This window comes from Homo sapiens, chromosome 2, assembly GCF_000001405.40.
Source record: "Homo sapiens chromosome 2, GRCh38.p14 Primary Assembly".
Lineage (NCBI taxonomy): Eukaryota > Metazoa > Chordata > Mammalia > Primates > Hominidae > Homo > Homo sapiens.
The window spans coordinates 196,025,940-196,039,202 of record NC_000002.12 but is presented as its reverse complement, the minus strand read 5'-3'; the positions used below and the strand labels follow the sequence as shown (position 1 = coordinate 196,039,202).

At 37.8% G+C, this 13,263-nt stretch overlaps 1 protein-coding gene across 11 annotated transcripts in view; it reads left to right on the top strand.

The window, feature by feature from the left end:
- Positions 1-13,263, top strand: part of DNAH7 (dynein axonemal heavy chain 7) — a 331,135-nt gene that overhangs the window by 29,635 nt on the left and 288,237 nt on the right. For all 11 annotated transcript variants that reach the window (XR_922968.4, XM_011511488.4, XM_017004504.3 and 8 more), the window contains 2 exons: positions 11,156-11,243; positions 12,263-12,443. Coding sequence is in view for 10 of the 11 variants with exons in the window: in XM_011511488.4 (XP_011509790.1) it covers positions 11,156-11,243; positions 12,263-12,443 (269 nt within the window). In the remaining variant the exon portion in view is untranslated. The remainder of the gene's footprint in view (positions 1-11,155; positions 11,244-12,262; positions 12,444-13,263) is intronic.

The window sequence follows — 13,263 nt, the reverse complement described above, 5'->3', positions numbered from 1 at the left end:
TGCTATTGGTTTCTAGTTTTACTTCATTGTGTGTGATTTGATTTTTTTTACATTTGCTGAGACTTGTTTTGTGGCCTAACATGTGGTCTAACCTGGAGTATGTTCCATGCACTGATGAGAAGAATGCATATTTTGTAGCTATTGAAAGGAACATTTTGCAAATGTCTATTAGGTCCATTTGGTCTACAGTGCAGTTTAGGTTCAGTGTTTCTTTGTTGATTTACTGTCTAGATGATCTGTCCAATGCTGAAAGTGGGGAATTAAAGTCCCTTTCTATTGTATTGGGGTCTATGTCTCTCCTTAACTTTAATAATATTTTCTTTATATATCTGAATGCTCCAGTATTGAGTGGGTATATATTTATAATTAGATCTACTTGGTGAATTGATCCCTTTTCATTATATAATGACCTCCTTTATCTCTTTTTATGTTTTTTTACTTAAAGTCTATTTTGTCTGATAGAAGTATAGTTACTACTTCATCTGTAAAGGCACACATGGACTAAAAGTGAAGATATACCATGCAAATTCTAAACCTGTTTTTGGTTCCCATTTGCATGGAATATCTTCATTTTTAGTCTGTAGGTGTACCTTTACAGGTGAAGTGAGTTTCTTGTCAGCAGCATATAGTTGGGTTTTGTTTTTTTAATCAACTCAACTAGTCTGTATCTTTTAATTAGGGGAATTTCAACTGTTTATATATATTAAAGGTTGTTATTAATAGGTGAGGGCTTACTCCTGTCATTTTAATGATTGTTTTCTGGTTGTTTTATATGGCCTTTGTTCTCCTCTTACTGCTTACCTTTGTGATTTGGTGTTCTTCTATAAAGTATTGCTTGACTCCTTTTTCTCATTTGTGTATCTGCTCTTCTAGTGAATTTTATGCTTTAGTGTGTTTTCATGATGGTGGATATCATCCTTTTGCTTCCAGATGTAGGTCTCTCTTAACCATTTCCTGTAGGACCTGTTTAGTGGTGGTGAATTTGCTCAGTTTTTATTTGTTAGGGAAAGTCCTTATTTCTCCTCACTTCTGAAGGATAGCTTTGCTAAGTATAGTATTCTTGATTGACAGTTTTTTTTTTCTTTTAGCACTTTGAATATATAGTCTTATTCTGTCTTGGTCTTTAAGGTTTCTGCTGATAAGTATGCTGTTTTTCGGTTGGCTATTCCCTTATATGTCACTTGACAAGAAAATTTTACAGCAAGTTTTCTTGTGCTGTTTTTAGAATTCTTTGTCTTTGACTTTTGACAGATTAACTATATATGTTGTGCCACAGAGAGGAACTTTTTGGATTGAATCTATTTGGGGATCTTTCTGAGTTTTGTATTTCTAGATGTTTATATCTCTTCTAAGACTTGGGAAGTTTTCAGTTATTATCTCATTAAATTAATTTTCTATGCTTTTCCCCATCTTTTCTCCTTCTGGAACTTGCCAAATTTCAATATTTGTTTGCTTGATGGTATCCCATATGCCCCTCAGGCTTTCTTCTTTTTGATTCATTTTTATTGTCTCACTGGGTTATTTCAAAATACCTGTCTTCAAGTTAAAAAATTCTTCCTTCTACTTTATCTAGTCCATTGCAGAAACTCCTGATTTTTTTATTTTGTTCATTTCTTCAGTTTCAGGATTTCTGTTTGGTTCTTTTTTGTGACATCTATCCTTTCATTAAATTTCTAATTCAGCTTATGAGTTTTTCTGATTTGCTTATATTGTTTATATGTGTTCTCTTGTATCTTGCTGAGTTTTCTTGAGATCATTATTTTTAATTCCTTTTCAGGGGTTTTTTAGATTTCCTTTTCTTTGGGGCTTGTTGGTAGAGAATTATTGTGTTCCTTTGCAGGTGTTGTGTTTCCTTGATTTTTTTCATGTTTCTGTTGTCCTTATGTTGATATCTGTGCATCTGTTATAACTGTCACTTCTTCCAATTTTATGAAGCAGCTTCCATAGGAAAATACTTTTTCTTGTGAATGTATCAGTATGTTAACTGGGTAGGGTGCTTTGGCTTTGGTTCTGGGTGGACACCATAGTGTAATGTTCGTATGATTACTTTGATTGTATTTGATATCAGTAGTGTCTGCAAATTACTTAGTGGCTAGGCTGTGGGTGTTTGTGGAGGCTGTGATGAGGCTTTGCTAAGGACAGGGATACCAGGTAGGCTAGTCCTTAGGTCCCTAGGTGGTACATGGGGGCACTGGCAGGGATTTGGTATGACTCATGGAGGGCAGTATCTGGGTCCCAGGAGGGGTGTGTGGGTGCTGGGAATGGTGGCAGTGGGCTGGGTGGACTGGTCCTTGGTTTCCTGGGTGGCATGCATGGGCACCGGCAGTGTTGAGCCCTGGGAATGCCAGTCCTTAGGTCTCTAGGCAGAGCATGTGGGCACTAGTAGGCAAGGAGATCTGCTCTTTGGGGCCCAGATGGGTTGCATAGATGCCAGCAATAGTGAAGGCAGGTTGGTCCTTGAGTGCTAGAATGGATCACACCCAGATTATTGGTGTCGGCCACAGGCCAGCTGGAAAGGTCCAGGGTAGGGCAGGTGGGCACTGGCAGCATCTGCAGTGGGGTGGGCAGGCTGGTCCCTGGACCCCCAGGTGGGACACACAGTGTCCCTGCTGATGAGGGGGCAAGGTCATTGTTGGTGGCAGTGGCCCCAGGTAGACTGCTCTTAGGCTCTGGGGAGTACACACTTTGGTTCCCAATACCTTGGGGGAAGACTCCTGGATATGCTGGATCGCCTATTCCTTGGGTAGTAGGACACTGCATGAACTTGGGTGCTGGTGATGTGGCAGTCCACTGGGTTCAGCCAATGCCATGCTATTGTAGCCCTCTGGGTGGATGTAGGGGGATGTCAGTGGGGCCTTAAGAATGTGGAGGCCAGGCACAGTTGCTCATGCCTGTAATCTCAGAACTTTGAGAGGCTGAGGTGGACAGATCACCTGAGGTCAGGAGTTCGAGACCAGCCTGGCCAACATGGCGAAACCCTGTCCCTACTAAAAATACAAAAAAATTAGCTGGGCATGGTGGCGGGCACCTGTAGTTCCAGCTACTTGGGAGGCTGAGGCAGGGGAATCGCTTGAACTCAGGAGGCAGAGGTTTCAGTGAGCTGAGATCACGCCATTGCACTCCAGCCTGGGCAACAAGAGTGAAACTCTGCCTGGAAAAAAAAAAAAAAAAAAAAGAATGTGGAGATGCAGGTACTGTTGTACCAAGGACAGGATATAATCCTGTGGTGTTGGCTCTGCTCTCAAAATGGTGCAGTGCTATGGCAGCTTGGGTTCCAGAAGTGGGATTTAGCCCAAGTTCCATCTCTGGAACAATGCAGTTGTGGGTGCTCCATGCAGCACCCTATACTAGGCTCAGGGATCCTGAGAGCCAACAGGCTTTTCTGTATCTAGGACTGCAGGTTTCTTGGGTGGAAATGTGAACAGCTGGGCAATACCTCACTTACATTTTTCCTGCAATGGAGCATTCCTCCTGGCTCTGGGCTGAACTGGCCTACTGCCCTACTTTCCTCTCTACATTGCCATCTTAAGTTTTCCATGCCTCAGAGGGTCCCTGTTTTTTCTCTGCTGGATTCCAGTGTTCTCCCCTAGATGATCTACTTGATGTGTGTTTATGTACTTGCTGTTTTGGTCCTTCTTTATGGAGAAGACAGGCACTGGGCGCCTCTCTTCAGCTACTTCATACAATCATCCTTGAGAGCTGTTTGGCAGTAAACATGACAGTCTTCTGTCATCTTCTCTTCTCCTTTGTTCATTTAGTTTTCTTCCTCCAACAAATCCAAAGTGCCTTAGAGGTGGTGCAAAGACCCATCAGACTTCATACACTAGAAGGTGATGCAACAATGGTTGCAGGTTATATCAATATTTTTTGAAAATAAAAAGTTTCACATTTTGTTAAAATATAATTTATCAATTTTCCTTTTGTTGTTCATACTTTTGGAGTCATATAAGTCTTTTCCTAATACAAATTCTCAAAGATTTCCTCCTGTATTTTCTTCTGGAAGTCTTATAGGTTTTTTTTTGAGATGGAGTCTTTGTCTGTCACCCAGGCTGGAGTGCAGTGGCGTGATCTTGGCTCACTGCAACCTCCGCCTCCTGGGTTCAAGCGATTTTCCTACCTCAGCCTCTCAAGTACCTGGGATTACAGGTGTGCACCACCATAACCAGCTAATTTTTGTATTTTTAGTAGAGATGAGGTTTCACCATGTTGGTCAGGCTGGTCTCAAAACTCCTGACCTCGGGTGATCCACTTGCCTCGGCCTCCCAAAGTGCTGGGATTACAGGCATGAGCCACTGTGCCTGGCCTAGGTTTTTAAAAATAATTTTAACTCTTACGTTTACATGCATGATACATTTCAACTTCATTTTTGTCTATGGTGTAAGGTACGGTTTGATGTTCAATTTTTTGGCATATAAATGTTCAAATGTTTCAACCCCTAATCCCTTGAATTACCTTGGCATACTTGTGGAAAATAATTTCACCATATACGAGGGGCTATTTCTGTTCCATTGATCTATGTGTTTATTTTTACACCAGTACCATACTTGTCTTGATTACTTTAGCTTCATAGTAAGTTTTGAAATTAGATAGTTTAAGCCCTCAAAATTTATTCTTTTTCAAAATTATTTTGGGTGTTTTAGGTCTTTTGCATTTCTACATATATTTAGAGATCAGCTTGTCAGATTTTGCAAAGGAAAAATGCCTACTGGGACTTGGAAAGCATTGCGTTGAGACTGTGAATGAATTTTTGGAGAATTGTCATTTCAGTAATATTGAGTTGCCTAGTCCATGAACATGTTATTTCTCTCCACTTATTTAGATCTTCGGTTGCTCTCAGCACTTTATATACATTTTTGTGTAGAAATCTTGCCCTTCTTTTTAAAAATGTAATCCCATTAATTTTATTGTGAATGAAATTATTTAATTTTATTTTCTGGTTGTTCTTTGCCAGTATATAGAAAAATCAATTGATTTTTGCTTGTTGACCTTATGTTTTTGAGACCTTACTAAACTTACTTATTTTAGAGCTTTTAAAAGTTCCTTAGAATTTCCTATACATACGATCATGTGTATGCAAGTAAAAACAATTTTATTTCTTCATTTCCAACTTGGATGCTTTTTTCTTTTTATATCCTTTTTGCACTTATTAGGTCCTTTGGTATATTGTTGAAAATAATTGGTGAGAGTGGAATTCTTAGTCTAAGGGAGAAAGCATTCAGATTTTCACATTAATGTGAAATGTTAGTTGTAGGTTTTTAAGACACTTTGTGGAGAAAAGGAACCTTTGTACAGTGTTGATGAGAATGTAAATTAGTGCAGCCATTGTGGAAATTTGTATGAATATTTGTCAAAAAACTAATAATAGAATTACCATATGATCTAGCAATCTCATTTTTGGGTATTCACCCAAAAGATTTGAAATTAGTATGTTCAAGAGACATCTGCATGCCCATGTTCATTTCAGCACTGTTTATAATAGCTGAGTTATGTAATCAACCTGACTGTCCATCAGCAGATGAATGGATTAAAAAAATGTGGTATATATACACAATGGAATACACTTCAGCCTTAAAAAAGGGAAATTTTATCATTTAACTTGGATGGAATCGAAGAACACTATGCTAAGTGAAATAAGATAGGTACAGAGAGACAAATATGCATGTTCTCATATGTTTAATCTAAAATACTTGAACTAAAAGAAACAGAGAGTAGAATGGTTGTTACCAGAGGCTGGAGGGAGGCAGGGGGAATGGGGAGATGATGGTTAAAGGCTACAAAGACTTAGTTAGACAGGGGTAAGTTTTGTTTTTTTCTTTAAAACATATTGCACAGCATGGCAAATTTAGTAAATGTATTGTGCATTTCAAAATCTTTGAGAGTAAATTTCATAAATTCTCCACACAAAGTGTTAAGTATTTGAGGTGATGGATATGTTAATTAGCTTTAATTATTCCACATTGTATTAATAAATCATAACACTTTTTACCTTATAATCATATACAACTATAAATCATCAATTTACAGTTAAATTACATATTAAATAATTAAGAAAAAATAACACAACGTGGGCTCAAAAAATATGTAAAGGAAATAGATATCTTTTATCATTTCCTTTCCAAATTTGTTGAGAGATTTTATCATGAATGAATCCTGGATTTTTGTTAAATGCTTTTTCTGTGTCTGTTGAGGTGATCATTTGGTTTTTGTTCTTTATTCTATTAATGTGATATATTACATTAGTTGCTTTTTATATATTAGTGCAACCTTGCATTCCTCTCACTTAGTCATTGTGTGTAATCCTTTTAATATGTTGCTGGATCTGATTTGCTAGTATTTTGTTCGGGATTTTTTAGTTTATATTCATGAATGATATGGCCCTGTAGTTTTCTTGTGATATTGTTGTCTGGCTTTGATATCAGGCCACTAATGGCCTCATAAAAAGAGTTGGGAAGTGTTTTTACCTCTTCTATTTTCTGAAAGAATTTGTGTAGAATTGGTATTATTTCCTCCTTGTTTGATCAAATTCATTAGTGAAGCCATCTGGACTTGAACTTTTCTTGGTTGGCAAGCTAATTACTAATTCAATTAGTGTACTTGATACAGATCTATTCAGATTTTCTGTTGTTGATTGGGTCATATTTGATCCTTTTTTGCCTTTTGGGAACGTATTCTTTTTATGTAATTTGTTGGCAGAAAGCTGTTCAGATAACCTCCTGGTTTTCAGCCTTCCTACTCATTCTCTCCTTTGGTATCTGCCAACCCTGATACCAGAGCCTTTTCTAGTGGTCTCCCAGGCAGATTGTTTTCCTTCCTGTATGAGTTTTGGGCTGTGGTGTTTTAAACTGTTTCGTCTGTCCTCTCTTTTATGGTTTGGCTCTGTGTCCCCACCCAAATCTCATTTGAATTGCACTCCCATAATTCCCATATGTTGTGGGAGAGACCTGGTGGGACATAATTGAATCATGGGGATGGTTTCTCCCGTACTGTTCTCATGGTAATGAGTAAGTCTCAGGAGAGCTGATGGTTTGATAAGGGGAAACCCGTTTTACTTGGTTCTCATTTCTCTCTCGCCACCACATGTAAGAAGTGCCTTTTGCCTTCTGCCATGATTGTGAGACCCCCCCAACCACGTGGAACTGTAAGTTCTATTAAACCTATTTCTTTTGTAAATTGCCCAGTTTCGGGTATGTCTTTATCAGCAGCATGAAAATGGACTAATACGGTAAATTGGTACCAGTATAGTGGGGTGTTGCTGAAAAGATATGTGAAAATGTGGAAGCAACTTTGGAACTGGGTAAAAGGCAGAGGTTGGAACAGTTTGGAAGGCTCAGAAAAAGATAGGAAAATGTGGGAAAGTTGGGAACTTCCTAGAGACTTGTTGAATGGCTTTGACCAAAAGCCTGATAGTGATATGGACAATAAGATCCAGGCTGAGGTGGTCTCAGATGGAGATGAGGAACTTGTTGGGAACTGGAGCAAAAGTGACTCTTGTTATGTTTTAGCAAAGAGACTGGTGGCATTTTGCCCCTGCCCTAGGGATTTGTGGAACTTTGAACTTGAGAGAGATGATTTAAGGTATCTGGTGGAAGAAACTTCTAGGCAGCAAAGCATTCAAGAGGTGACTTGGGTGCTGTTAAAGGCATTCAGTTTCATAAGAGATGCAGTGCATAAAAATTTGCAGCCTGACGATACGATAGGAAAAAAAATCTTATTTTCAGAGGAGAAATTAAAGCCAGCTGCAGAAATTTGCATAAGTATCAAGGAGCCAAATGTTAATCCCCAAGACAATGGGAAAAATATTTCCAGGGCATGTCAGAGGTCTTCACGGCAGCCCCTCCCATCACAGGCCCAGAAGCCCAGGAGAAAATGGTTCTGTGGGCCAGGCCCAGGGTCCCCGTGCTGTGTGCAGGCTAGGGACTTGGTACCCTGTGTCCCAGCTGCTCCAGCTGTGGCTGAAAGGGGCCAACGTGGAGCTTGGGCCATGGCTTAAGAGGGTGCAAGCCTCAATCCTTGGCAGCTTCCATGTGGTGTTGAGCTTGCAAGTGCACAGAAGTCAAGAATTGGGCTTTGGGAACCTTCACCTAGATTTCAGAAGATGTATGGAAATGCCTGGATGCCCAGGCAAAAGTTTCCTGCAAGGGCAGGGCCCTCATGGACAACCTCTGATATAACAGTGCAGAAGGGAAATGTGGGGTCAGAGCCCCCACTCAGAGTCCCTACTGGGGCACCGCCTAGTGGAGCTGTGAGAAGAGGGCCACTGTCCTTCAGACCCCAGCATGGTAGATCCACTGACAGCTTGCACCGTTTGCCTGGAAAAGCCGCAGACACTCAACACCAGTCTGTGAAAGCAGCCAAGAGTGAGGCTGTACCCTGAAAAGCCACAGGGCAGAGATGCCCAAGACCATGGGAACCCACCTCTTGCATCAGCATGACCTGGATGTGAGACCTGGAGTCAAAGGAGATCATTTTGGAGCTTTAAAATTTTACTGCCCTGCTGGATTTCGGACTTGAATGGGCTCTGTAACCACTTTGTCTTGGCCAATTTCTCCCATCTGGAATGGCTGTATTTACCCAATACCTGTACCCCCATTATATCTAGGAAATAACTAGCTTGCTTTTGACTTTACATGCTCATAGGCGGTAGGGACTTGCCTTGTCTCAGATGAGACTCTGGACTGTGGACTTTTGGGTTAATGCTGAAATGAGTTAAGACTTTAGGAGACCGTTGGGAAGGTATGATTGGTTTTGAAATGTGAAGACATGAGATTTGGAGGGGCCAGGGGTAGAATGATATGGCTTGGCTCTGTGCCTCCACCTAAACTGCATCTTGAATTGTACTCCCATAATTACCACATGTTGTGGGAGGGACCCAGTGGGAGATAATTGAATCATGGGGTTGGTTTCTCCCATATTATTCCTATGATAGTGAGTAAGTCTCATGGGATCTGATGGTTTGATAAGGTGAAACCCCTTTCCCTTGGCTCTCATTTCTCTGTCTTTCTGCTATCATGTAAGAAGTGGCTTTCGCCTTCTGCCATGATTGTGAGGCCTCCCTAACCACATGGAACTGTAAGTCCATTAAACCTCTTTCTTTTTTAAATTGCCCAGTCTCAGGTATGTCTTTATCAACAGTGTGAAAACGGACTAATATACTCTTCTTTTCAGGTTCCAGAAATTTGTGAAATATCTCCTTAGCTGATGACTTTTCTTCTAGTTTCTTCATAATTAATGGGTTAAAATTATTTCACTACCATTTTTTTTCAGGGCAATTTAAAAAAGGGATGCTCATGCCACCATCTTGAACCAAAAGCTTCTACTGATTTTGTAAAGAGAAAAAAAAATAAATATAGTTCTTTTCATTTTTGAGAAATAAAGTACATCATATTTTCTCTGTACCCAGGCCACATGTCTCCTCTATTGATCGTTTTATTTCTGAACGGAATAAGCACAGCTGTTTGGAAGCACATATGGAAGGGCAAATTCTTCCTTTCATAGTTAATTAGCTGTATGACCAAGGGGAGGTTATTTAAACCTCTCTGACATTCACTTTCTTCATCTGTGAAATGGGAATAATTATGTCATTGTCTTCTTTAACAATAGGTGTGAGGATTATAAATAATATATGTGAAACTATTGAGGGCCTGAGTAGGTAATCAATAAAAAGCTGCCATTATTATTGCTCTCGGTGAGGAGCAATAGTAATTGCTGGCCCTAGAATGATAGAATCATGGAGTTTTAGAGCTGAAAGGATCTTCACTCTGACTGGAAGAACTTCTACAGCCATTCCTACAACCCCCAACCTTCTACCTCCTCACCCACCCTTGCCCTGATGCATCTTTCTAGGCAGGCGTTATTCACACAGAGAATGAGGTTTGTTTGATTCTTAGAATTCAGCAAGGTAGGTAGGATGAGCATTTCTGCCATAAAACAAACAAACAAACAAACAAACAAAAGTTACTGAGGTCATATGCTTTATGGTGGCAGACTCTGAACCCAGATTTCCTGATTCCTGAAATATGTTACTGCTGAGTTCTCTTCTGTGTAGTCAACAATGTAATGAGGTTATATTTGTAGTTAGAATAATCAACCCTTTTCTCTCCATGTGCTAAATACTTTGAGGATTTCTTCTACTTTCATACTTGCATTCCCTCACTTAACAAACATTTATTGATCACTAGCTATCTATTGAATTAAACTGAGACATTACCCAAAGCCTTGACTCTTTTATCTTGTCCATTTAATTGAAAAGAATATGTAAAATTCACAAAACACTGCATTCCTGGATTTGCAAAAGATAAATAAGTTAGAAGATCTATTCTGGATACCCACTTTGGTATGGTATCTCAGATATACTCAATGAACCTCGAGTCTCCCCTCACTGGGCAGTTAGTGGGAAGGTGTACTTAATTATACAACATCACTGACCTGTATCCATTTTAGATGAAGTTGAGATCCAGAGAATGATACAGTCAATTATAAAGAGGTTAAAGCTATCCCACAACAACTTATTTTTCTGAAAATGTGAACTATGCCTTTCTGCCCAGTGCAGCCCCAGAACATGTCACAAAATGTGGCTCATATTTGGCATATATTTTGAATTGAATTATAGTTACAAACATTATTGTATTATATGAACACATACCCAATAATAAATACATAGGCACATAAAAGCTTCCATGTCACTGATTGCTAACTTGTATGTCTATAGAAATCTGAGAAATGGCCTTTTGAAGAATGTGTCTGTGTCTTCTGCAAAACTGTGTTTAAAGTACTTTCCATCAGTGTTCTTTTTAAAACTCATATCTATAAATAACCATACATATTTTAGGAATAATGCAAGAGTGTTCCTTTATAATTTCAGAGAAGAGAGAGCTTGATTCTTGAGTAATGAGGAAGAATAAGTAAAGGCCATCAAGGAGGGTGTGATTTCTGAATAGGTCTTGCAAGTAACTTCCAATATAATTGTCTCTCTATGAATAAAGTATTTGGAGAGGAATATAGCACCAAACAAATGTGTATGCTGTTTGTAAAATGTTCAACAATTCATTTTTCCTTATGATTTAATAGAAAATAGTCCTGGTGTTCCTATATCCATTGTTTTATGTTCTAACTGCCCCTTATCTACTTTTGAATAGTATGTTTATCATTTTCTTAGGCAACAAGATGCTGACTTAGACTCAGCTGTCCCTGATGGAAGCACAATTCCAAAACCGACCGCTTCTGCTATAGAGAAAGACATCTTGGTAACTGGCCATTTGTTTTGTCTGTATAATTGAAAAGGAAAGAAACACTTGAAGATAATTTTATACTTTGGAGACCACTCTGTGCTTCTCCTTTGTGAAACTCTGTGGACATAGGAATAAATACAGAGTTCTATAAAAAGGCACCATGGGATTTGTAGAAGAAATCATTCTCTCCCTTGCCACCTAAGACCACAATTTAAAAAAATTTCAAATCTACCTGCTCTCCATATTAAAGCCAGCTTCAGTCATGTATAGCTTTACATGCCTTAATTTTTTTATGAGAAATTATCCTATAATAATTATATAATGTATATTTTACAAGGCATATTAACGTACTTTAGGAATAGTAATTCTTCAAGTATTTAAATACATAATAATTTTTTAAAATGTAAATATCAAAGACAACACTGCTAATTCAAAAGCATTTTGACATTTAAATTTTTTCTAATAAGTGACATGTAAAAATTTGTGAACGTATATTGAAGTTAAATGTTCATTATTATAGAAATAATAACTTGTTTTAAAATGAATATTTTATGAACACACACAATAGCAGCTATAAAATTATAGTATGGAATATTAATAGGCCAGTTGGAAATGTCCTAAATCCTATTGTATAATATTTCTGGAATTAATATATAGAGATACTGATTTGCTTACAGCTTTTAAGATCTACTTCTGATAATAATAAAAAGAGAAAAACTAACAAATCATTTTTAAAAATTAACAAAACACTAATTCAGCATGGACTCTGTTAAGTACATCATATATTTGGTAATATAACTTGATGTTTTACAGTATAGTTATTAACTGAGATAAGAGTTTTAGTTTTCATGAAAATACACATTTGTAACATTTAGGAGATCTCAAATAATACCTATGTGAATTGTACCAAATACTTTTTTATGCTTTATAAATACTTTGTTCTCCTAAAACTTGAATTTTGCTTGGTAGTTTTATTTTTGATAAACATACTTCTTTTGTTAAACATCTACATTTTTCCTATCTTCTTTTTGTAGAGATATTACTATTATATTCACCATGGAATTGATACAGACCATGTAGCCCCAATGGAAGATTCTTGGCTAGAACACGTACTGGATTTAGTTCCACAACATCTGAAAGTCTTCACTGACAGCATAGTTACATTATCTGATGAAATGAGAGAGGATTATCTTCTTAGTGTAAGGAAATCCATAGGTAAATTGGTATTATGCTTTGATTTTTAATTCAAATATGTGTCTCATTAAAGATTATTTTTGTATTAATAATACCTATACTTGAAACTAGTCACAATATTATAATTATGCCATTTCTTACATTGCTGTTATATTACTTAAGATCTTAGGCAAATTCCATTAATGTAGTATTACAAAAAATAATTCTATTTCTATTTGTAGGGATATATCCCCACCACAAAGGATAGCACTGAAGAAAATTATAAAGCATTAATTTCAATCCCTCAAGATATTTATTGAGTGTCTAATTTATGCGAGGCATTAGGCATTTAGGAGATAGTCTCTCCCTTTAAGATGGTCTCTTCATTCCAGGATCTTTTGGTGTAGACATGAGACAAGACATACATATTTAAATAATTACCTAAAAGTGTAAGCATTAACAATGAACATTAGTATTACCGATGTCATAAATTAGAATGTGATTAATACAAAATTGTTGCAGTAGACCAAAGGTTGACAAACTATAGCTCACAGGCAAATCTGGCCACTGCCTGTTTTCATAAAGTTTTATTGGAACATAGCCACACTAATTCATTTGCATGTCATCTACAAATCTGGCTGCTTTTGAGCTACAAGAGCAAAACTGAGCAGTTGTGACAGAGTCCTTGTGGCCCACAAAGTCGAAAATAGTTACAGTCTAACCCTTTACATAAATAATTTGTTGACCCATGGTACAGACAAATAGATTCTAAGGCTGACTGATTACCAGAACCGTTTTAAAAATACTGACTTCTGGCCCCACCTGAATTAAAATCCCTGGAGTCAGGGCCTTGGAATCTGTA